Source organism: Homo sapiens, chromosome 17 (assembly GCF_000001405.40).
Source record: "Homo sapiens chromosome 17, GRCh38.p14 Primary Assembly".
Lineage (NCBI taxonomy): Eukaryota > Metazoa > Chordata > Mammalia > Primates > Hominidae > Homo > Homo sapiens.
The window spans coordinates 35,017,254-35,041,463 of record NC_000017.11 but is presented as its reverse complement, the minus strand read 5'-3'; the positions used below and the strand labels follow the sequence as shown (position 1 = coordinate 35,041,463).

General features: G+C 44.2%; 1 protein-coding gene and 1 long non-coding RNA gene across 3 annotated transcripts in view, besides 2 other annotated features; both read left to right on the top strand.

Moving 5' to 3' along the window:
• RFFL (ring finger and FYVE like domain containing E3 ubiquitin protein ligase) overlaps nt 1-24,210 on the top strand; it is an 83,237-nt gene that overhangs the window by 47,763 nt on the left and 11,264 nt on the right. For both annotated transcript variants that reach the window (NR_037713.2, NM_001017368.2), the window contains exons 2-4: nt 14,903-15,090; nt 19,683-20,093; nt 23,858-23,941. Coding sequence is in view for 1 of the 2 variants with exons in the window: in NM_001017368.2 (NP_001017368.1) it covers nt 14,911-15,090; nt 19,683-20,093; nt 23,858-23,941 (675 nt within the window). In the remaining variant the exon portion in view is untranslated. The remainder of the gene's footprint in view (nt 1-14,902; nt 15,091-19,682; nt 20,094-23,857; nt 23,942-24,210) is intronic.
• RAD51L3-RFFL (RAD51L3-RFFL readthrough) overlaps nt 1-24,210 on the top strand; it is a 112,411-nt gene that overhangs the window by 80,059 nt on the left and 8,142 nt on the right. The gene's annotated exons all lie outside the window — the stretch shown is intronic.
• Nucleotides 12,805-12,854: an enhancer, noted in NCBI's record as "active region_12051". NCBI's record gives its function as "activates an Ori minimal core promoter by ATAC-STARR-seq in GM12878 lymphoblastoid cells {active_cell/tissue: GM12878}" and the evidence as "EXISTENCE:reporter gene assay evidence [ECO:0000049][PMID:35858748]".
• Nucleotides 13,809-13,985: a silencer, noted in NCBI's record as "fragment chr17:33354498-33354674 (GRCh37/hg19 assembly coordinates)". NCBI's record gives its function as "represses an EF-1alpha promoter that drives an FKBP-Casp9 reporter gene in an ReSE screen in HepG2 liver carcinoma cells {active_cell/tissue: HepG2}" and the evidence as "EXISTENCE:reporter gene assay evidence [ECO:0000049][PMID:32094911]".

Sequence of the window (24,210 nt, the reverse complement as noted above, 5' to 3'; positions counted from 1 at the left end):
AAAATGCAATAGGAGTCCATTAAAGAACTTTTTTTTGAAGAGTTTTTAAACATTTTTATGTACAAAGAGTTAACATGATTTCTTTCATTGGGTGGATGCCTTGGATAATCCATCCAAGGAAGATCACTTCTAGGAACAAGCAACATTAAAGAGCTTTAAGTGTGTGTGTTGAGGGGAGGAGGGCAGTGGGTGATGCCTTGTGGAGAAATAGGTGGATAGAGGCAAGAATTAAAGCTAGGAAACCCGTTAGGAGGCTGTTCTTTTACCCAAGAAGCCATTCTAGACTCTGGAAATTCGGTAGAGCACAAAGTCCCTGCCCTCATGGGGTTTCTATTCTAGTTAGGGAAAGCAGTTAATAAATAAGCAAATAATATCAGCTAATACCAAATGTTATGGTGAAATTAGAAAATGACATTAAAAGGCTGGTCGTGGTAGCTCACACCTGTAATCCCAGAGCTTTGGGAGCCTGACGCAGGAGGATCCTTAGAGCCCAGGAGTTCGAGATTACAGTGAGCTATGATCAAGCCACTGCACTCCAGCTTGGAGAGAGACCCTATCTCTCTCTCCCTCACACACACACACACACACACACACACACCAAAAAAAAAAAAAAAAAAAAAAAGACATTAAAGCTGATGTTTGGATGACAAGAAGGAGCTAAGCATAGGAAGTTCTAGGGAGACCAATCCAGGCAGAAGGAACAAACAACAAATCTAAAGGGCCTAAGGAGGGAAATGTGATTAATATATGAAAGATGATGTTTTAACCCACCAGCAGGAGCAGGGGAGATGAAGGTAGGAATTTATGCATCTTTGATTTAAGAAAAGTATTTTTTATTTTTTTTTTACTTTTTTTTTTTTTGAGAGAGAGTCTCGCTCTGTCGCCCAGGTTGGAGTGCAGTGGCATGATCTCAGCTCACTGCAACCTCTGCCTTCCAGGTTCAAGTGATTCTCCTACCTCAGCCTCCCAAGTGGCTGGGACTATAGGTGCCTGCCACCATGCCTGGCTAATTTTTTATATTTTTAGTAGAGACGGGGTTTCACCATGTTGGCCAGGCTGGTCTTGAACTCCCGACCTCAAGTGATCTGCCCGCCTTGGCCTCCCAAAGTGCTGGGATTACAGGTGTGAGCCACCACACCCGGCCAAGAAAGGTATTTAAAGCAACCTGAGGTGTGGTTGGAGAGGGAGGCCTAAGACAGCCTGGACACTCACAACATTTAAGAACAGAGGGAGGGGTAAGAAGCAGCAAAAAGGCTTTGAGGTAGGAGGAAAGCCACGGGGGCAGAGTGCTAGAAGCTAAGAGATGTTTAGAGGGGGAGAGTCGCTTGTGTCCAGCATTGCTGAGAGATTAAGATGAGGATAGAGAAGTGTCAATTAGATCTGGCCACTTGGAATTCCTTGGTGACCTTGAAGAGATTAGGAATGGTGGTTGGCTCAAGCTAGATTGGAGAAGGTTTAAGAGTGAATTAGAGGTTAAGAAAGTGGAGTCGGCCAGATGCGGTGGCTCATGCCTGTAATCCCAGCACTTTGGGAGGCCGAGGTGGGCAGATCACCTGTGGTTGGGTGTTTGAGACCAGTCTGACCGACATGGAGAAGCCGTCTCTACTAAAAATACAAAATTAGCTGGGCATGGAGTTGTATGCCTGTAATCCCAGATACTCGGGAGGCTGAGGCAGGAGAATTGCTTGAACCCGGGAGGCAGAGGTTGCAGTGAACTGAGATCGTGCCATTGCACTCCAGCCTGGGCAACAAGAGTGAAATTCCGTTTCAAAAAAAAAAAGTGGAGTCAAATATTTGGAGAAATTTGATTTAGAGGAGATCACAGAAAAAGAGCTTTACTGGGGAGGGGGAGAATGTGGGGTCAAAATGGGGTTTTATTTTTTATTTTTTTGTTATTTTTTACAAATTACAAATATTTGACTAGGTGCTTTAAAAAATCTGTCATTGGCTGGGCGTTGTGGCTCATGCCTATAAGCCCAGCACTTTGGGAGGCCGAGGTGGGCGGATCATGACGTTAGGAGATCAAGACCATCCTGCCCAACATGGTGAAACGCCGTCTCTACTAAAAATACAAAAATTAGCTGGGTGTGATGGCACGTGCCTGTAATCCCAGCTACTCGGGAGGCTGAGGCGTGAGAATCGCTTGAACCCAGCAGGCGGAGGTTGCAGTGAGCCGAGGTTGCGCCACTGCACTCCAGCCTGGCGACAGAGCGAGACTGCGTCTCAAAAAAAAGAAAAGAAAAAAATCTGTCATATGGGCTGGGTGCAGGGGCCCATGTCTGTAATCCCAGCACTTTGGGAGGCTGAGGCGGGTGGATTGCTTGAGCCCAGGAGTTCGAGATCAGCCTGGGCAACTTGATGAAACCCCATCTAGACAAAAAAATACAAAAAATTAGGTGTGGTGGTGCGCGCCTGTAGTCCCAGCTACTCGGCATGCTGTGGCAGGAGGATCACGTAAGCCTGGGAGGTCCAGGTTACAGTGAGCCATGGTCGCAACACTGCACTCCAGCCTGAGCAACAGAGTGAGACACCCTATCTCAAAACAAAACACAACACTCATATAAACTTTTAATTCAAATGTAACTAGAGAAGTATATAAATTATAAGTGTACAGTTCGATGAATTTTTACAAAGTCAACATATCTACATAATCAGCATTCAGAGTAAGAAACAATGTTACCAGAAGCCCCTTGGGCTGCCTTCCATCTGTAATCCTACCTCACAGGATGACCACTATCCTGATTTTGAACACCATAGTTTGCCTGTTTTTGAATTTTATGTAAAACGAATCATTTCCCATGTATTCATTTATGCCTCCTGCTTTTGCTCAACATAAGATTCATCTGTACTATTGCATGTATCAGTTGTTTGTTTTTTCTCATTGTTCTGTGAACATATCATAATTCTACCGTTGATGGACACTTCAGTTGTTTCCAGCTTGAGGCTATTACAGTAGGGCTTCCATGGATATTCCTGTATACTGTTTGGGTGAATGTATTTCTGTTGGGTATATGCCTGGAAGCAGAATTGCAAAGCCATGGAAAGAGATGTGGGTGCGCGTGTATATGCACGCGCGCGCACACACACACAAAATTTCCAAATTGGAGTAATTTACACTTCCACCAGCAATATTAGAGTTCCAGTTGCTCTTTTTTCCTTTTTTTTTTTTTTTTTTTTGAGACAGTTTTGCTCTGTCATCCAGGCAGGAATGCAATGGTGCGATCTGGGTTCACTGCAACCTCTGCCTCCCAGGTTCAAGCGATTCTTCTGCCTCAGCCTCCTGAGTAGCTGGGATTATAGGCATGTGCCACCACGCCTGGCTAATTTTTTGTATTTTTAGTAGAGACGGGGTTTCACCATGTTGTCCAGGCTGGTCTCGAACTTCTGACCTCAGGTGATCCGTCCGACTTAGCCTCCCAAAGTGCTGGGATTACAGGTGTGAGCCACCATGCCCGTCTGCTCCAGTTGCTCTTTATCCTTATCAACATTTGCTAGTATCTCTTTTTCATTTTAGCTATTCCAGTGGTGGTAACACTTTGTGGTCATAATTTGTACTTCCATTATGACAAAGAAGAGTTTTTAACACCTGGGAGATTCTGGAGCATACCTGTATGATGATAGGAAAGTTCCTGTAGAGATGGAAAGCAAAAGCTCAGAGGGGATGGGCCACAGGGTAGACAGATTGATTTTTTAAATTAAATCAGGACTACATCTCAAGAGGGTACGCTTCAGGGTCTAAGTGACCAAGGTTCAAAGCTTGGCTTTGCTATCCTCTAGCTGTGACCTTTAACAAGTTACTTAACTTCTCTGAACCTTTTTTTCTCACCTGAAAATGGGAAGAACTAATCTACCTTGCCAGAATTGTGAGGATCACATGAGATAACACTAGGTAAAAGTACCTATCTCAGTGCCTGGCAAATAAGCATTCTTCCAGCAGAGAGTGGCTACTTTCTTCTTTACTTCTCAAAATATGTAATTACTTATGAATTATTTTAGAGAGGCTTAGCCTAAGCCCTGTTGATAGACTTTTCACAGAATTTCCTTTCAAAACCATTGCAATTGTCTTTAATTGCTTTTTAATGATAATACACAAGATGAAGCTAAGCCCATTCTGTACTAATGATTCATAATGTGGGATACTTTTCTTTATGCACTAACAACATAGATGCTTTTAACCATTCCAGAAATACGTTAGTGACAGTAGGCGTACCACCCTCAATAAACTGGACATGATTCTGTAAGGCTTGCTTTCCAGCCCTTTTCTGATTTGTCATGTCAGAAAGGCATTTCTTTAAGGTTTGGGGGCATTTTATTTAGGTATTTTAAAAGGATTTTTGTAAACTTTTATACAATGGTGCACCATAAGTGTGTTAATTCCAAGATGTAGCTGTCTATGCTTTTGTGTAAAGCCTGTTGTTGCAGAACTACCTTGGTGCACAGAGCAGTTAATTAAAATCAGAATAGATTGGATGAGAACCTTGGGAATTTTTTTACTGCCTTAGTTTTTTGGTGTCTTTGGAGTTACATTGCAAACCAGCATGGCCCTTCTACTCCTCTCTCCCCTTCATGGGAAGACCCATGACAACCACTGATCTGCTTTAAATCATTTGCCTTGGGCAGGTGAACAAGCGGAGAAGTGTTTTGAAACTACTTAGGAATCTAGGACTTAATAGGTAGAAATCACATTATCTACCCTCTTGCCTCTAACTATGACTGTACCAAGCCCACCTGGAATAGGTAATTTATCTTATTCTGTTATTAACACTGTTATTTTCCTGTTCAGCAGGGCTAACTCTCCCAAGAAATACTAGCATACTTATCAAGCTGACAAAATCCTACATGCTAGCTAGCCATTCTTGCCTCATATCACAAGGTTCTTCCACAGGGAATAGTAAATGTTTTTATTCACTACTGGCCCTACATCTCCCATTTTTCTCCCTTTTAGGGAAAGTGGAAGAGGAGACCCTAGCAGGCTTCAAGCAAGCTCTGTAGGACAGCAGTTAGACACTGTTTTTGAGGACTAAATTGCCAAGTCTGTCTTTTAAGAAGAGGGTGAGGGGAGTTTGGGAAGGAATGTTCAAGCCCTGAGTGAAGATCCAATAATTTTCTTTCAAGATCAGAAGGAGGTTTGTAGATAAGAGAGAAAAGTTTTTCATTTATCACCTTAGGGAGAATTCTTTCTACACCTCACAATTAGTTCCACTTTCAGTCCTTTAATAGCATTATCAAATGCCATGTATGTATATCTATTTAGGGATGAGGAATGAAAAAAATATTCCCAAGAGAAAAGTATTTTAGCTTATATAGCGTTGTTAGTTACAAACTCTTTCCTTCCGCCCTCTGAAATAACCCTGAACGTAGTTGTTATTTAGGGTTAGGGCTTTCCAGTTTGGCAGGAGAGTACTTCTAACTGACCACATTAGGACATGTTTCTTTTTTGGTATTTAAATATCTGTCAGAGTGGCCGGGCATGGTGCTCATGCCTGTAATTCCAGCACTTTGGGAGGCTGAGGCAGGTGTATCACCTGAGGTCAGGAGTTCAAGACCAGTCTGGCCAACATGGTGAAACCCCGTCTCTACTAAAAATACAAAATTAGCCAGGTGTAGTGATGCACACCTGTAGTCCCAGCTACGCAGGAGGCTGAGGCAGGAGAATCGCTTGAACCCTGGAGATGGAGGTTGCAGTGAGCTGAGATCTTGCCGTTGCACTCTAGCCTGGGTGACAAGAGTGAATCTCCATCTCAAAAAAGAAAAAATTTATATATATATACATATATATATGGAGTAAAATATATATATAGATATAAATATCTATAGATATAGATACAGATATAGGTATATAAAGAGTAAAAGCCTAGTCGGCTGACTTTGGCAAACCTGTTCTGTTAGACTGAGCAGGTCTAAGGTATGTTAACACTGGAGAATCTTGCCACTACCTGATCTTTCCTGTAATAACCCCCTTCCCCACATATGTATATTCCTAGCATAAGACTTCATTCTCCACCTAAACTTGGAGACTGTGGGGTGGCAGAATGGCAATTTTTTTTTTTTTTTTGAGATGGAGTCTCGCTCTGTTGCCCAGGCTGGAGTGCAGTGGTGCAATTTCAGCTCACTGCAACCTCCACCTCTTGGGTTCAAGTGATTCTCCTGCCTCAGCCTCCTGAGTAGCTGGGACTACAGGCATGTGCCACCATGCCCGGCTAATTTTTGTATTTTTAGTAGAGACGGGGTTTCACCATGTTAGCCAGGATTGGTCTCACTCTCCTGACCTTGTGATCCACCCACCTCAGCCTCACAAAGTGCTGGGATTACAGGCCTGAGCCACCGCGCCCAGCCAGCCTTCTTTTTAAAAGTAGCCAGATGACTTGAATAGGCTGATAGCTCTTCTTTCAGAGATGTTCAGAAGAGGCACTTAAGGTTAGAACCAAAGTTAAGAGAATAAAAATAGTGTGGAGGAAGATGGGTTCTCTTGACTCCAGCTAAAGAAGAGTTTTCTTCTGTCTTGTATCAAGATGTTCAAGTTGAGCTATATGCCTTTCAAGGCTCCAAATCCCCTCGGGACAAAGACCTAGTCGAAATCACTTTTGGTGTTTCCAGTACCCACAATATAGCTGGTGCTTCGTAAGTACATTGATTTTTGCTGGGCGTGGCAGCTCCCACTTGTAATCTTAGCACTTTGGGAGGCCAAGGCAGGTGGATCACCTGAGGTCAGGAGTTTGAGATGAGGCTGGCCAACATGGAGAAACCCCGTCTCTACTAAAAATACAAAAATAAGCTGGGTGTGGTAACTCCCTGTTGTCCCAGCTACTCGGGAGGCTGAGGCAGGAGAATCGCTTTAACATGGGAGGTGGCGGTTGCAGTGAGCCAAGATCGCGCCATTGTACTCCAGCCTGGGTGACAGAGTGAGACTCTGTCTCAAGGAAAAAAAAAAAAAAGTAACGTGGATTTAAACAATATACAACTTTCCAGTTTTTCCTACTGATTGTGCCTTACCAGGTGGGTCTGCCTATTTTGTGCAAAGTCCTTTTAGGAAAAATTTACAACCTGTAGATTCCTTGTGTGGAACAAAAGTTTATTTTTTTCATGTGGCTAAATCTATCTCCCCTTTCCTTTTTTATTTTTTTAATTTTTGAGACAGGAACTTGCTCTGTGGTGCCTAGACTAGAGTGTGCTGTGGCATGATCATAGCTCACTACATCCTCCTGGACTCAAGTGATCCTCTGTCCTCAGCCTCTCACATAGCTGGGACTACAGGTGCGTGCCACCATGCCCAGCTAATTATTATCATTATTATTATTATTATTTTATTTTTTATTTTTTTGAGACAGAGTCTCGCTCTGTCACCCAGACTGGAGTACAGTGGTGCGATCTCGGCTCACTGCAAGCTCCGCCTCCCGGGTTCACGCCATTCTCCTGCCTCAGCCTCCCGGGTAGCTGGGACTACAGGCGCCCGCCACCACGTCTGGCTAATTTTTTTGTATTTTCAGTAGAGACGGGGTTTCACTGTGTTAGCCAGGATGGTCTCGATCTCCTGACCTCGTGATCCGCCCACCTCGGCCTCCCAGAGTGCTGGGATTACAGGCTTGAGCCACTGTGCCTGGCCTATTATTATTATTTTTTATAGAGATGGAGTCTCAGTGTGTTGCTCAGGTTGATCATGAATTCCTGGCCTCAAGCGATTCTCCTGCCTTGGCCTCCCAACATGCTGGGATTATAGATGTAAGCCACTGTGCCCAGCCCCTTTCCTGTTTATTTTGTACTTTCACTTTTCTATTGCTAATACTATAAATTTATATTTGGTTATACCTGCCTTCACCTCTGCCCCACTGTCTGGTGAATGAGGTGACTTTTATCCTGCCCGGGAATAGACCTACCCCCTAATCTGATCACATGATCACTTCTTTTTCTTATGTATTTATTTATTTATTTATTTTTGAGACAGAGTTTCGCTCAAAATGCCCAGGCTGGAGTGCAATGGTGTGATCTTGGCTCACTGCAACTTCCACCTCCCAGGTTCAAGTGATTCTCTTGTCTCAGCTTCCCCAGTAGCTTGGATTACAGGCGCGTGCTACCATACCCGGGTAATTTTGTATTTTTAGTAGAGATGGGGTTTCACCATGCTGGCCAGGCTGGTCTCGAACTCCTGACCTCAGGTGATCTGCCCACCTCGGCCTCCCAAAGTGCTGGGATTACAGCCATGAGCCACCATGCCCAGCCATATCACTTCTTTTTCTACTCCAGCCTTTACTCCTATTCCAATCATTTATTGTCAGCTTCACTTCCTCTACAGTCTCTTAATCTTTTGGGGACTCCTCAGCAGTTTGTGAATATGTCTGCATTTATCCTGGTGACACTGGATCTTCTTTAGCAACTGCCTCCTCTCTTCCTTTCATTTTACAGTCAAGTTTCTTGAAATAATAATTTATCCTTGGAATTGTGTGAATTCATACTTCTCATTCACTTTCCAAGCTATGATTATCAGCTTCTTTCTTCCTAAACTGCTTAGGCAAAGAGCACACATGGACACTTTCCTAAACCTTAGTCCATTGGGCATTTTGCATTCTTCATTGTATTGTGTTCTCTGAGACATTTGACAGCGTTGATAATTTCTTCTTGAAACTAAAAACACTCTTCCAGTTCCCCCTGCTCTGAGCATTCTTTTTTCCTCTTTTCTGCTGTGGGCTTTCCCCTGCTTGCCCTATAGATGTGGTTTTCCCATGCCTTCTTCTCTTCTGACCCAGACCATCTAATCAGCCTCCGGCCCCACTCTGGCTTTACGTACTTCCAGTGGGCCATGTGTTCCCAAACCTTTATCTTCAGCCCAAACATGTACCTGTGTATACATCAGCATGTCCCATGAGTACAAAACTCAACTCATCATCTTAACCCGTCCCTATTCTCCACACACAGATACATGCCTCCTCCTGAGGGCTTCATTTCAGTAAGTAATTCCACCATCTATTCTGTTGTGTAATTCAGAGACCCTAGACTTTGTCCTAGACTCTCTTTTCTCTCCCCCTTCTCTCGTCTGCTAGTTCATTCTGCTCATTCTATCAGATCTGCACCTTTTTAAAATTTCCATATTTACCCATCTTGCCTCTCTACTGCAGCAACTTCCTGCTTCCAGCTGGCCCCTTGCTGATCTGTCCCACACACTGCTTATAAGTGTGCACTCTAATATGCAAATGAGACAACAAAATGCCCTAATCGTGTCCCATTACGTATAGGATCCAGTCCAGGTTCCTTACCAGGGAATAAAAGGTTTTTCTTGGCTCTTTGTTTACTACTTGTACCCTCATCTACTCCCTGCCTTGCTCCCTGACCCAACCAAGCATTTTGTAGTTTCTTTTTCTTTTTTTTTTTTTTTTTGAGACGGAGTCTCGCTCTGTCGCCCAGGCTGGAGTGCAGTGGCGCGATCTCGGCTCTCTGCAAGCTCCGCCTCCTGGGTTCACGCCATTCTCCTTCCTCAGCCTCCCGATCAGCTGGGACTACAGGCGTCCACCATCACGCCTGGCTAATTTTTTGTATTTTTAGTAGAGACGGGGTTTCACCCTGTTAGCCAGGATGGTCTTGGTCTCCTGACCTCGTGATCCTCCTGCCTCGGCCTGCCAAAGTGCTGGGATTACAGGCGTGAGCCACCGCGCCCAGCTGCATTTTGTAGTTTCTTTAATGCCATGGTGCATATTACTTGTTTTCTGTTGAAAATTCCTTCTCTTCTTGACTTTCTGGTAAAGTCCCAGTTACTCCCACATCATGATAGGATGTGCGGCACCTCATTTGAAAAGTCTTCTCTGGTCACCCCTCTTCCCCTGTAGAGCTGATCATTTCCCTCTGTGTAGCCTCCCAATAATACATGGTGCAAACCTCCGTTAAAGCACTGATCACCCTGAAATTTCAATATTTGGTTTACATTTCTAGTACCCTGACTAGACCATGAGCTCCTTGAGGGTAGGTACTTAACCTTCCTTACCTAGCACTGGAAACAGCAAGGCACTGGTTTCAGTAAAAGTTGCATGCATCATGAATGAGTAGAGAGTTTAACAGAAGTTAGTGAATTGGCCAGGTGTGGTGGCTCACGCCTGTAATCCCAGCACTTTGGGAGGCCGTGGCAGGCGGATCACCTGAGGTCAGGAGTTTGAGACCAGCCTGGCCAACATGGTGAAACCCCATCTCTACTAAAAATACAAAAATTAGCCAGGCATGGTAGCAGGCGCCTGTAATCCCAGCTACTCGGGAGGCTGAGGCAGGAAAATCACTTGAACCTGGGAGGCAGAGGTTGCAGTGAGCTGAGATCATGCCACTGCACTCCAGCCTGGGCGACAGAAGGAGACTCCATCCCAAAAAAAAGTTAGTGAATTGCCTACAACCTTGTCCTCTTTGCAGGGGACAAGCCCAGAAAGCCAGATGGTAATTGTTGTGAAATCTGTAGGTTTATTAGGTTTATTTTGTACCTTTGCCTTCCCAGAAAAATTGTAGTTAAAAGCATTGTTATAATGTGGATAACAACAACTAATGTTTATATAGTGCTTTATAGCATACAGACTGTCCAGAGGAGAAAAATGAAGTACAGAAAGTCTATTACTTGTTAGAGGGAGGTAACACAGCCCTTAAGTAAGTAGAGCAGGACTTAGGACTGAGGCCTTCTTATTCCAGATTCTATATTCTTTTTATTATTACATACTGTCTCAGATTTGTCTGTCAACGTGTGATTTAAAGAATTACAAAATTTGGCTGGGCATGGTGGCTCACAACTGTAATGCCAGCACTTTGGGAGGCCAAGGCAGGTGGATCACTTGAGGTCAGGAGTTTGAGACCAGCCTGGGCAATATGACAAAACCCAGTCTCTACTAAAAATACAAAAATTGGCTGGGCATGGTGGTTCACGCCTGTAATCCCAGCACTTTGGGAGGCTGAGGTGGGCAGATCATGAGGTCAGGAGATTTGCCCATCCTGGCTAACATGGTGAAACCCCATCTCTACTAAAAATACAAAAAACACACACAAAAAAATGCTCACCATCACTGGCCATCAGAGAAATGCAAATCAAAACCACAATGAGATACCATCTCACACCAGTTAGAATGGCAATCATTAAAAAGTCAGGAAACAACAGGTGCTGGAGAGGATGTGGAGAAATAGGAACACTTTTACACTGTTGGTGGGACTGTAAACTAGTTCAACCATTGTGGAAGTCAGTGTGGCAATTCCTCAGGGATCTAGAACTAGAAATACCATTTGACCCAGCCATCCCATTACTGGGTATATACCCAAAGGACTATAAATCATGCTGCTATAAAGACACATGCACACGTATGTTTATTGCGGCACTATTCACAATAGCAAAGACTTGGAACCAACCCAGATGTCCAACAATGATAGACTGGATTAAGAAAATGTGGCACATATACACCATGGAATACTATGCAGCCATAAAAAATGATGAGTTCATGTCCTTTGTAGGGACATGGATGAAATTGGAAATCATCATTCTCAGTAAACTATTGCAAGGACAAAAAACCAAACACCGCATGTTCTCGCTCATAGGTGGGAATTGAACAATGAGAACACATGGACACAGGAAGGGGAACATCATACTCTGGGGACTGTCGTGGCGTTGGGGGAGGGGGGAGGGATAGCATTAGGAGATATACCTAATGCTAAATAACGAGTTAATGGGTGCAGCACACCAGCATGGCACATATATACATATGTAACTAACCTGCACGCTGTGCACATGTACCCTAAAACTTAAAGTATAATAATAAAAAAAAATAAAAAATTAGCCAGGTGTGGTGGGCGCCTGTAGTCCCAGCTACTTGGGAGGCTGAGGCAGGAGAATGGTGTGAACCCGGGAGGCGGAGCTTGCAGTGAGCTGAGATCATGCCACTGCACTCCAGCCTGGGCGACAGGGCAAGACTCCGTCTCAAAAAAAAAAAAAAAAAGAAAGCAAAAATTAGCTGGGCATGATGACAGCTGCCTGTAATCCCAGCTACTCAGGAAGCTGAGGCAGGAGAATCACTTAAACCTGGGAGGCGGCGGTTTCAGTGAGCCGAGATCATGCTACTCCACTCCAGCCTGGGTGACAGAGTGAGACCCCTGTCTCAAAAAAAAAAAAAAAAAAAACTACAAAATATTTCAGAGGGCTATTCCTCCTCTGTTGTCCCCATTTCTCTTGGCAGCAAAGAACTCATTTACTTTATCATACACACACTCTGTGAAGAACTCTTTACTTCATTATTCCATGTGAACTGTTAATTGCAAGTAAAGGCAGATTACTTGCAATTCTTATTCTAGGAACTTAAGTTCCTGGGAACTAAGTTCCTCTCCTGGGAACTTAGAACCCTCAGACAGGTTATATTGAGTCAGAGAGAAATGTTTCTGATGTGCTGAAGATTGAACAAATGTGTGATTAGTTAAGACTTAGATATTGTATATGATTAATTCATTTGCTAGTTCTTGTTGAGCTACCTGTCTAATTGGGCACTGTTAGACTATCACAATCCCTGTTGTCGTGGGGGTTACAGGCAAGTTACAGGCCAGTTGGGGAGACAGGTGTTAATCAGAGACCCCTGCAAGGGAGCGAATTATATCACAGGTGCAGTGGAGGCAGTGTTGGAAAGCTAAAAAGGACCTAGAGAAGTGAAGAGGCCTGAGGTTATGAGCTATTTGACCTAGGAAGTTACTTCCCCTTGCTGGTTCTCATTCTTTTTTCCTCGATGAAATAACCCAGGTTGAATCAGTTGGCTTCTTAGTTCCTTCTAGCTTATGAAAGTGCCCTTGTTAAAACAATGAGTCAGGAGACAGCAGAGCATTCTATTGTGTGAACTGATTATCAAATAATAACACTAAATGTTTCATTTATTGTCTCTGTAAGCAAAGAGTTCAGGCTCAAAGTATCTACATGGGCTGCTTTAGTCTACTGAGAAAAACATACTCATATCTCACATCAATGCTTGGCATTTGAGTGGGCCCTCTTACAATTGTTAGGTTATTCTGACATTTGAGGGATTGGATCCAGATCCTCTTTGTTTTGTGATCGTAAAAATCATCAGCCCTTTGTCCCCAGTACCTGCATTTGATATGTACTATGGGAGTAATAAACCAACACTTTTTTTTTTTTTGAGACAAGGTCTCACTTTGTCACCCAGGCTGGAGTGTAGTTGTGCAGTGGCACGATCTCGGCTCACTGCCATCTCCGCCTCTCAGGCTTAAGTGATCCTCTCACCTCAGCCTCCTGAGTTGCTGGATTACAGGTGTGTGCCACCACACCTGGCTGATTTTTGTATTTTTTTGTAGAGATGGGATTTTGCCATGTTGGCCAGACTGGTCTTGAACTCCTGAGCTCAAGCAATCTTCCCACCTTGGCTTCCCAAAGTGCTGGGATTATAGGCGTGAGCCACCACACCTGGCCAACGCTTCTTTTTTTTTTTGAGATGGAGTTTTGCTCTTGTCACCCAGGCTGGAGTGCAATGGCACGATCTCCCGTCACTGCAATCTCTGCCTCATGAGTTCAAGCAATTCTCCAGCCTCAGCCTCCCAAGTAGCTGGGGTTACAGGCGCCTGCCACCCCGCCCAGCTAATTTTTATATTTTTAGTAGAGACAGGGTTTCACCATGTTGGCTAGGCTGCTGTCGAACTCCTGACCTCAGGTGATCCACCCGCCTTGGCCTCCCAAAGTGCTGGGATTACAGGAGTGAACCACTGCACCTGGCCCAACACTTTTTTTTTTTTTTTTTTTTGAGACGGAGTTTCACTCTTGTTGTCCAGGCTAGAGTGCAGTGGCACGATCTGGGGTCACCACAACCTCTACTTCCCGGGTTCAAGCCATTCTTCTGCCTCAGCCTTCCGAGTAGCTGGGATTTCAGGCATGCGCCACCACACCCTGCTAATTTTGTATTTTTAGTAGAGATGGAGTTTCTCCATGTTGGTCAGGCTGGTCTCGAACTCCCGACCTCCGGTGATCCACTCGCCTCAGTCTCCCAAAGTGCTGGGATTACAGGCGTGAGCCACTGCGCCTGGCTCCGAACACTTCTTAATAAACCTACAGAGGCTCTGATTCAGTAAGGAAGCAAATATTTGTTGAGCTTCTACATGGACAACAGTGCTAGGGAACAGTACTGTACATAATGAATAAATATCCCCTGCCCTGGAGGAATTTATGGCTTAGTAGTAGAAAATAAAGAGCAAGATATAACTGTGCAAGAAAGTATAATAGGTGCTGTGATAGAAGTTTATCTAGGATTGGGGGTACAAATGTAAGAGTAGTTTTACTGGCTGGCAGGAGGGGAAATCAATGAATGGACAACATAGTATAGGGAAAAGGATGTTAGGTTTGGAGTCAGAAGACCTGGGTTTGTAGAATCTCAACTCTGTATATTAGCTCTCTATATATTGGCTATATATTTGATTTCTTTGAGTCTGGGTTGCATCATTTATATAAAGCAATGAACAATAGTCTTCCCCAGCTCAGCGCCATGGCTCACGCCTTAATCCCAGCACTTTGGGAGGCCGAAGTGGGCCGATCACAAGGTCAGGAGTTCGAGACTAGCCTGGCCAATGTGGTGAAATCCCATCTCTACTAAAAATACAAAAAAGCCGGGCGTGATGGCGGGCACCTGTAATCCCAGCTACTTGGGAGGCTGAGGCTGGAGAATCGCTTGAACCCAGGAGGCGGAGGTTGTGATGAGCTGAGATCACGCCACTGCATTCCAGCCTGGGCAACAAGAGCAAAACTCCATCTCAAAAAGAAGAAAAACAAAATCTGTTTGAAAACACATCCTCCCCTCCACCTTGGTGGCATGCGTGCATTGAGTGTCACTGCTCACCTGTGCTCTCGGACATCAAAAGGACAGTAGAGGTGTGTCTTAACTCTGACCTTTTCCCCTTTCCTCCCTTGCACCAGATTTTATCATGTGGGCAACCTGCTGCAACTGGTTCTGCCTGGATGGACAGCCTGAGGAGGTCCCACCACCCCAGGGAGCCAGGATGCAGGCCTATTCCAACCCTGGGTACAGCTCCTTCCCTTCCCCAACAGGCTTGGAACCAAGCTGCAAGTCCTGTGGGGCTCACTTTGCAAACACGGCCAGGAAGGTGAGTGCTGACTTCTTGGCCTGCTCTGCCACTGCAGCCTATGGACCATGGGCAAGCGCCACTGACCCCTCTGAATGCCTGCAACCTTTCCTTTCCCTGTGTGATGCTGGTGACCCAGAGCTGTCCCTTTCACAAAAATGTTCAAGAAGAACTAACTGAGTAAAAGCAAAAGCAAAGCATGTCAGCATAGATTTGGAGTCAGTAGACCTAAATTCAGTTATCAGCGTTGCTACCTACTAGCTATATGATCTAACCTCTCTTGAGATTCAGTTTCCCTGTTATAAAATGGGGATGATTGTAGTCCTCATCTTTCAGGGTTGTGGGAATAAAGTGAGACAAGAAAGCCATGAAAGGTGCCTAGCACAATGCTTAGAATGTCGTAGGCACTTGATGTTATTTCCATCATTAGCCACCATCACAAAGGCCTGATTGCAGATTAACTTGTTCTTTTTATCAAAAGCAACGTTAAGGATGCCTCAGGTACATGAAGACCATAACAAAGACTGGAGCTTATTTACTGTAGCAGATTTCATTTGAAATGCTTGGGAGCCATGCTTCCCAAATGAATGAGCTGGAAAAAAAATTACTGGCTAGATAATGGTGTCTAGGTGTGCACCCTCCCTCTTCCAGAGGCAGTGAGTTATCTGTGATCAAGCATGACTAGGCAGAAGGTAAACCCTCACCTGGATAAAGAACTCCTGCATTCTGCATTTTTCTGCAGAATGAGAGGTTTGCAGCTCAGAATAAGTGATAGGATATGATGTTAAAATGGTGATCATGGGAAATTTGAGAGGAAATCATACTTTTAAACCATCTGCTATGTGCAAAGGACTGTTTAAGGAATTTAAATTTTTTTATTTCATTTAATCCTCACAATAGCTATGATATAGGTTTTAGAATCTCCCAAATCCCATTTTACATATGAGAAACTAGGGCTTAGGGTTTAAAATTTAAGAAGAACATTGAATGTGTTAAATTCCTGACAAATAGCATGAGAGATATTAAAATACTCATTCTTTTCCCTTGACTTCAGTAGTGCTCAAGATCACATAGTTATTAAATGACAGAGCCGGGATTCAAACCCAGGTCCTTGATTCCAAAGCCCCTCCCAGAAGACATTCAGCATGTCGAGTAGAAGATGACAGTTACAGGCCTGGGTGCCTAGAAAAGCATGGCAATGATTAAAATAAGGTGCTTTTTTTCTTACTTATTGGAAAATGAATTACTGAATATCTACTGTGTATCAGGAATTGCCTGGGCTAGGGAGGCAGAGATGAAGAAGGCCATTGCTGCTTAACGGGGAGCTTGCAGTTGGACAGGGAGGTGAGGACAGTGCACACCATACGATGTGACAAAAGAAAAGTGTGTGTAACAAGAGCTTCTGGAGGGGAAGAAAAATTCCAGTTTGGATGGTAAAAGATGGTTATTGGTACAATATTTTCTTGCTACAATATTTTCTTGCTACAAAAGTATGAGTTAATTTTGTGCAATTTACAGTGAATTTTGTGAATATTAAGGGTGTTTTCATCTATGAGAATTTTTCATTTGTAATTTCATGCTTAAGTGGATCAGCATTCTTATCTTAAGGGTTTGGCATTTAACACCCAGGGGCTTTCAAAATGTCTTTTTCTAGAAGTGCTTGAATTGAAATGATTCCATGGATCCTACTATCTTTTTCTTTTCCTTATTCTTCATTATGGTCAGTACTTTCTGAATGCTTATTGGGTGCAAAGCACAGATAACATTCAGGACTTTATAGACAGAATATAAGTAAGATGTGGCCCTTGCATTCCCTGAGTTTTCAGTCCTAAAGAGAAATGGCAGGCTGTACTTTTGCCACAAGCCAAATACCCCATCTCTATTGGTAATACCTCCCTGTGGTTTAGCAGCGACCCTGACGGTTTTGGAGGGAGTCTGGCACCCAGCCTCTTTAGTTGGACCAGTTGGAGGATGAGGTTATGCTTGGAGCCATGGAAGTGATATTCAGATCTCAGAGTGTTAAGAGAGGACTGGGTCTTAGGTGCTGGTAAGGGGAAAGAAAAAGGTAACCGTGTTACCTTTTCTGGAGCATCCACTTTGTGCTAAGGTTTTATATACATTCTCTCATGTAATACTTCCCATATTCCAGGGAATAGGGTGGGAGGGAGTAGGAGCAAGGGAAGGGCAGTTGGCAAACGGGAGCCAGCAGAACCCTGCACACGGCATCCTTGAAGGGTGGTGTCGGCCTGAGGCGCCACGGCCAGTTCTGTGATGCTGGATATCTCAGTACACCCTGGGCATTTCTGCAGGCATGTTGGTTGCCTCCACTAATTCATCTTTCATGCTACCTGGTTACTGAGTTGTTTTGAACCATTCGGCAGAATTTATACATAAGTGTGTCCTTTGCTCATTCTGCCTGCATTTGTTGACAGCCCTTTTTTCCTTTCTTCTTGTTTTCTTCTGCCACTGCAAACTGGGGTTTTAGCCTCAAGCCCTATCCTGTTCCTGTAGGGTGTGTTTCAGATGCCAGCTTATTTCAGAGTTCCCTGTGAGCCAGCGGGTGCATAGAAGCTAGGTTGTTGTCTGCATTCTGATCTTGCATCCAGCAAGCCACACACATTTGAAGAAAGAATAGAGAGTTGTTTGGATCTGGCTGATTGAGCAACGCAGGCTTTATAATTGTGTCAAGCTAGGTCTTGTCAGACTGCATCGACTTAAGTAATATTCCATGTCAGGCCCACAGGTTTATGGCATTGAAGCCTCTTTGTTTCAGTCTCAGTCATCCTAAACAGACTTCATTTCCCAATAGAAAAGCTTTAGATGTGAATGAACCCCAAATACCTGAAAACATCCATTTTCTGCCTGCATGGCTACTGGTCCCAGAACCGTTACAATGCTAGTGCAGCCATGCATCCTTTTAAGTCCATCTCTGAACAGTATTGTTTGGTTATAACTGTATGGAGAATTAGGGAGCTTGATATATGTCCCTTTGCAATGCCTTCTAAGTCTTAATAGCCAAAACTGGGTGGTAAATATTATTTCCTTTTCCCTTTACTATGTGAATGATACTTAGACAAAACTTATATAACTATCTTAACTATGCAGACATTTACTTCAGCCCAGAGTGTCTGTGATCTTGACTATGAGAATCTTGTCTCTTGAGCTTTCTTTTTTAGCTTGAATATCTTTCTATATTTCGAAAAGATGGACCAGAAATATTTAAGTTACTACTTAAGTCAACACAGGATGAAAAGTTTTTAACTTCTTTAAAGGATTAATGAGGGTGCCCTCCAGGCCAATCCCAGTGTGCTCAGGAATTACCTCTCTTGTTGGGGATGTGACATGCTCTTGGCCAGAACAGAGCTCAGCCGGATGTCACTGTGCTCACTCAGCCTGTGGGGTGAGAGGCCGAGGATTGCTTCCTGTGGGCTGAGTAAGCCTTCCTGTGTTGTCAGCGACTGCCAGACTAGCTGCTGCCAGGCAGTACCAGCTTGCCCATCAGGCGCTCTTGTTGCCTAACTGAGACACTCTGTGCTTTCAGGAACGAGAGTACCCTGATGTCCAGACAGCCTCCCGTTGCTGTCTAAATATTTGTCTTGGATATGCTTGTAAGCACCACTGGGTTCCCAGCACTCTGAGTGGGCCTTCCTGGAGTGGGGAGCCTGTGTCGATGGAGCAGTGGGTGGGGAATTTGGAGATGGAAGCCAGGCCCTTGACTCAGAACTGCTCTGTACTTGAATGGAACTGAGCTATGCAGTATGGCCTGGTGGAAAGAATGTGATCATGGGCATTAGCCTCCAACAGACCTTGAGTGTGAATACCCGCTCTCCTGTTTATTGCCTGACCTTGAATACAACAGTTGATCTCCCTAAGCCTCGGTTGCTTTGTCTGTGAATCAGGGAAGAACACTAATACCTACTTTGCAATGTCGCTTTGAGAATTAAATGACAAGCTAGCATATAGAAGCACCTCAATAAATTAATATTAATTGTAACAACCACCACCACCATAACCTTCATGCAGAAATAATTACAGTTTAGGATTTGAATCCTGGCTGTCACCGTTAGGTAATATTTCCTAGCTATAATAAAACAGCTTACACTTGTTGAGGACTCATTTTGTGTTAGATATGCTAAATGGGTTCTCTCTTAATCTTCACAACAACCCCATGAGGTAGATACTGTTATCACCCCCATTTTACAGATGTGGAAACTGAGCACCAGAGAGGCTAAATTACACACCCAAGGTGATACTGCAAGAAATAAGGGAGGGAGGCTTAATAAAAATGCAGAGCTTTTTGATTCTTATGCTGGTAGTCTTAATTAATACCTCAGGTGCTTCAGGAGTAAATAAAGTAAGCCTCAAATTAAATAATAAATGTGAAGTGTCCTGTACATGGATATACACAATACATAGTGGAGGTCTTCCACCCGAGTGGCTTTTAATCTAAAATCTGAAAGTGGCTTGCACCCTTAGATATATGAGAGAGCTTAGTAAAAGTAAGAGTGACTGGAGGAGATCCTGCTGGGCTTGGCAGCTCTGAAGCTCCCATCGCACTCTCTGTCTTGTTCTCTCAATCTGACATGGTTTCCTGTGTCTTTTGCTCTAAGCAGCAGACCTGCTTGGACTGTAAGAAAAATTTTTGCATGACCTGTTCGAGCCAAGTAGGGAATGGGCCCCGCCTCTGCCTTCTCTGCCAACGGTTTCGAGCTACAGCCTTTCAGCGAGAGGAGCTCATGAAGATGAAGGTGAAGGACTTGAGGGACTATCTCAGCCTCCATGACATCTCTACCGAAATGTGCCGGGAGAAAGAAGAGCTGGTGCTCTTGGTCCTTGGCCAGCAGCCTGTAATCTCCCAGGAGGACAGGACTCGTGCCTCCACCTTGTCCCCAGACTTTCCTGAGCAGCAGGCCTTCCTGACCCAGCCTCACTCCAGCATGGTTCCACCTACCTCACCCAACCTCCCCTCTTCATCTGCACAAGCCACCTCTGTTCCCCCAGCCCAGGTTCAGGAGAATCAGCAGGTAAGGGCCCATTTGTAGTCTCTGCCAGTCTGTGCCAGTTTGAGGGCTCATTTTCATTTTCCTCTCCTGCCTTTGTTGTGAGAATGGGGTATAAGGCTAAGTGTCTTGATTATGTGAAGCCTTTCTGACTACTGGTGCACCAAGTGTTTTCTGGGTATCAGACTCATGTTTTGGCTTTCTTCAGAGGTGATATGCACAGTACCAATTTTTTTGTTTGTTTTTTGTTTTTAATACACACATATCCTAGTTAGACATTTTTTAAAGTTCATCATTCCAGAAATATTTTGAGAAAAGTAACCATTAAGCCATCAAATTTAGTTCTGTTCCAATTTGTCTTTCAACTTAACTCCTTTGTTGCAGTCTTCATTGGCTGGATTGGAAACTTAGTTCCTTAGTAACCATCACAAGGAATATAGGAAAGCAAAGGGCTATATGGAGGCAAGGGAGGGTGGGGAAACAGACAAAGACACTGCTTCTCTTACCAGTCACTGGCTGGAAGCAGGAGTAGTTGGCACGCTGTACTTGCATGCTGCTTCTTCATTATCCTGGGGGGCTTGGAAGTGGTAAGCTAAGAGCAGCACATCAACTGAATCATGACCCAGGTCTGGGGAGTATAGAAATGAGTAATAAACTGTCTCTGTCCTCAAAAAGCCCCCAGAAGAGGGAAGGTAGACAGGTAGACCAACTAACTACTGGATTAGAGTGAGGCCAGTGGACATAATTGTTGTATAAGAAGTGATGATGTTGCATAAGTGCCTTAAGTGACTCTGTTATTTATAGCAGCGGCCCCTAACCTTTTTGGCACCAAGGACTCGTTTTGTGGAAGACAATTTTTCCACAGACTGGGGTGCGTTGGTTTTGGGATGAAACTATTCTACCCAGATCATCAGGCATTAGTTAGATTTTCATAAGGAGCATGCATCCTAGATCCCTCGCATGCGCAGTTCACAACAGAGTTCACATTCCTATGAGAATCTAATGCCACCGCTGATCTGACAGGAGGCAAAGCTCAGGCAGTAATGCTTACTTGCCAGCCACTCACCTCCTGCTGTGCATCCGGGTTCCCAACAAGCCATGGACCAGTACCAGTCTGTGGCCCAGGGGTTGGGGACCCTTGATCTATAGGGCTTGGGCAATATGGGGGAATTAGGAACTACAAGATCCAATTTCCACATCCACTTTTGTCACTGACTTCTTGATCCCCTTGGGCAAATGTTGAGCCTACAACAATGAAATGAGGTTAGTAATCACAGACCACTTTTGATCTTGCCAGGATGTTGAGAGACCTGAATGCGTGATACCATGTCTAAAAGAGCTCTGAGTTACTTAGAGCTGGTATAGTGCTAGTGCTGTTGGTTCCCACACATGATGTGGATGGCTGCTGCCACTTGTTTATGATCACCTCCTTTGCCAGGACTGGGCCCCCTGATTCAGCTCTTGACAACCACTGAGGCATAAAGGCCAATGTGATAGCATAATTTAACTGCAGTAAAATCATTTAACTCCCTTTTTGGCCTGAACATGTTTTTCTCCGCAGCTGGACTTTAATTCTTTCCTAAGCTCTGACTCTTGGTCTGCTAGACAGATTTAAACTCCTGCTATATATTCTTCCCTTTGCTTGTGTTTTTTTTTTTTCCACTCTATGTATAAGGAGCCAGGAGAAGAACTTGAGGAATTCTTTTTCTGTAAAGAACCTTGGCTGGGCGTGGTGGTTCATGCCTGGTAATCCCAGCACTTTGGGAGGCTGAGGCAGGCGGATCATTTGAGCCCAGGCATTTGAGACTAGCCTGGCAACATGGCAAAAACCTGTCTCTACAAAAAATACAAAAATTAGCTGGGCGTGGTGGTGGGTGCCTGTAGCTACTCAAGAGGCTGAGGTGGGAGGATCATTTAAGCCTGGGAGGTCGAGGCTGCAGTGAACCATGATCATGCCACCACACTCCAGCCTGGGCAACAGAGTGAGATCCTGTCTCAGAAAACAAAAACAAAAAACCAAGCAAACTTTTCAGGTAGATTTTTCAATGAAAGATGATAAGCTTCCTGTCATTAACCAGAAATTTCCAGATTGCACCTAAAGGTCACCCTACATACAAGATCTAAGTGGGTACTTTTCCTCTGAGATTTTCAAGAGACCTTAGTGTCTGCTTACATCCCCTGTTCTGGTGAGAGCTGCACTTTGCAAGCAGGAAAAACAGGCATGGAAGAATTAAGTAACTTACGCAGTACTGTCTGACAAGTTCATAAGTGAGCTGCACCTAGAATGTAAATTTCCTTATAATACTTGCTCAACCAGAGTTCTCTCTTTCACCTTTAGTGCCCTAGCAATCAATAGTTGCTAGGCAAGGAAGTATATACAATAAGCACAACTGTGGACAGGTACTAGTTTTGGATTTTTATTTAGCCAGTGGGCAAACTGGAAAGACAAGAGCATGCTTTGCAGCATGAGGTCGTTTCTCTTTCTAGGAAACAGGACATCTGAAAGATAGCTACTTAGGAACAGGTTAGGCTCTGAAGGATTCCAGGGTAATTCCAAGGTAACACTACCTGAGAGACCAGTGAGGATCTACAGTAAGCTAAGAGAAAACGTTGTTGATGAAGACATTGATTTGGATCCATCCCCATACATGTGTACTATGCATTTGATCTTGCCTTGATTTGGCATTTTGTTACTTCTGCTTTTCATTTCCATTGCAGTTGGTTGCCTCTTCTTGATTAGCTCCATATTATGAATCCTAATGTGGGGTGAGTGGCTGGGGTCGGTGGGTGTCTTTGGTTTCCCAGATTGTCCCTTCACTGGCATCCCCAGAATCTGGTGGAAAAGGCCTGTGAGCTCAGACACCTCTTTGCTCTGAGCTCACAGCAGGCCCTTTGCCTGCAGGGAGCAGTGGGCGAAGAGGATCTACTTAAGGGGTTTGTGGCTTAAATGGTGATGGAATTAGGAGGCTAACAGTTCTGCCTACTCTTTGGCCAAACCTCCTAAAAGAGTACTCAGGAGGAACCTTTTGAGAAGTGAGAATTCTAAGCATAATGAAATTCCGTAAGCATAGGCAGTGTTTTATATAGTGTTAGGCTAATAGATTCTTAGATACATTAAAATACTCTTTGACTAGGTCTGGACATAGCACTTAATAATAGTGTGCTCAACATGGGGAGCACATTTCCAGAATGTGAGAGTAGTTACTAGGCAGAAAAGAAAGAGACTAGGGTGGTGATGATCTGGAAACTTTGTCCCATCAGTGTCAGATAAGGAAGCCAGGGAGATTTAGTGTGAAGGAGGGGAAAACATGGTATAAACAGTTTGGGAAAAACAAAAAACAAACAAACAAAAACCCCAGGAGACTATGGTCTGAGGAGCAGAACCAGGGATAGGGATGGCAATTTTGGATCAGTGTCAAGAAAAACCTTGATGCCAGATAGAGAGCAGTCCAGCAGTGGAATGGACACAATGACCTTCCCTTCACCTGTGGTGCTCAAGCTGAGATTAAATTGATGATGAGTTGTGGCTACTGCCATCCTGGTGTGTGCAGAATTAATGCAGTTTTGTTCTAGAGGGCAGCTTTGTCTATTGAAATGTATTTTTGTTGTTTCTCTGCTTGACAAAGTTGGTATGAGAGAGCAGGCTTTTGTAATGATGCTGTAAGAGGCTCCGGATTTCTGGGCATGATGGGAGTACATTCTGGACATTGTGTGAGTTGAAAAGAGGCCCATGCTATGCAGATCTCTGGGACATCTCTAGATGTGATGTTACTTTTCTCTTCCCACAGGCCAATGGCCATGTGTCTCAGGATCAAGAGGAACCCGTCTACCTGGAGAGCGTGGCCAGAGTACCTGCTGAGGATGAGACCCAGGTGGGGCCTCTGCTTGGGTCTGTGTCTTCACCTTTCCTCTTTCACTGGTGTTCTTCGGAACCTCTTAGCAGAGTCGAGTGGAGAGAGAATAAATGTGTGATGATAGTGCTTCCGAAATTATATTTTTGGGGTAGGGTTTAGTGTTAGTGTTCCAGGTTAACTAGTGAAGCGGTCAGTGTATTTATAAGGAGTTGTGAGGTCACAGTGGAGACGGAGAAGCCTCATGGCCCATTGTATTTCCAGTCTCTTGACTTTCTAAGAGCTGCCGG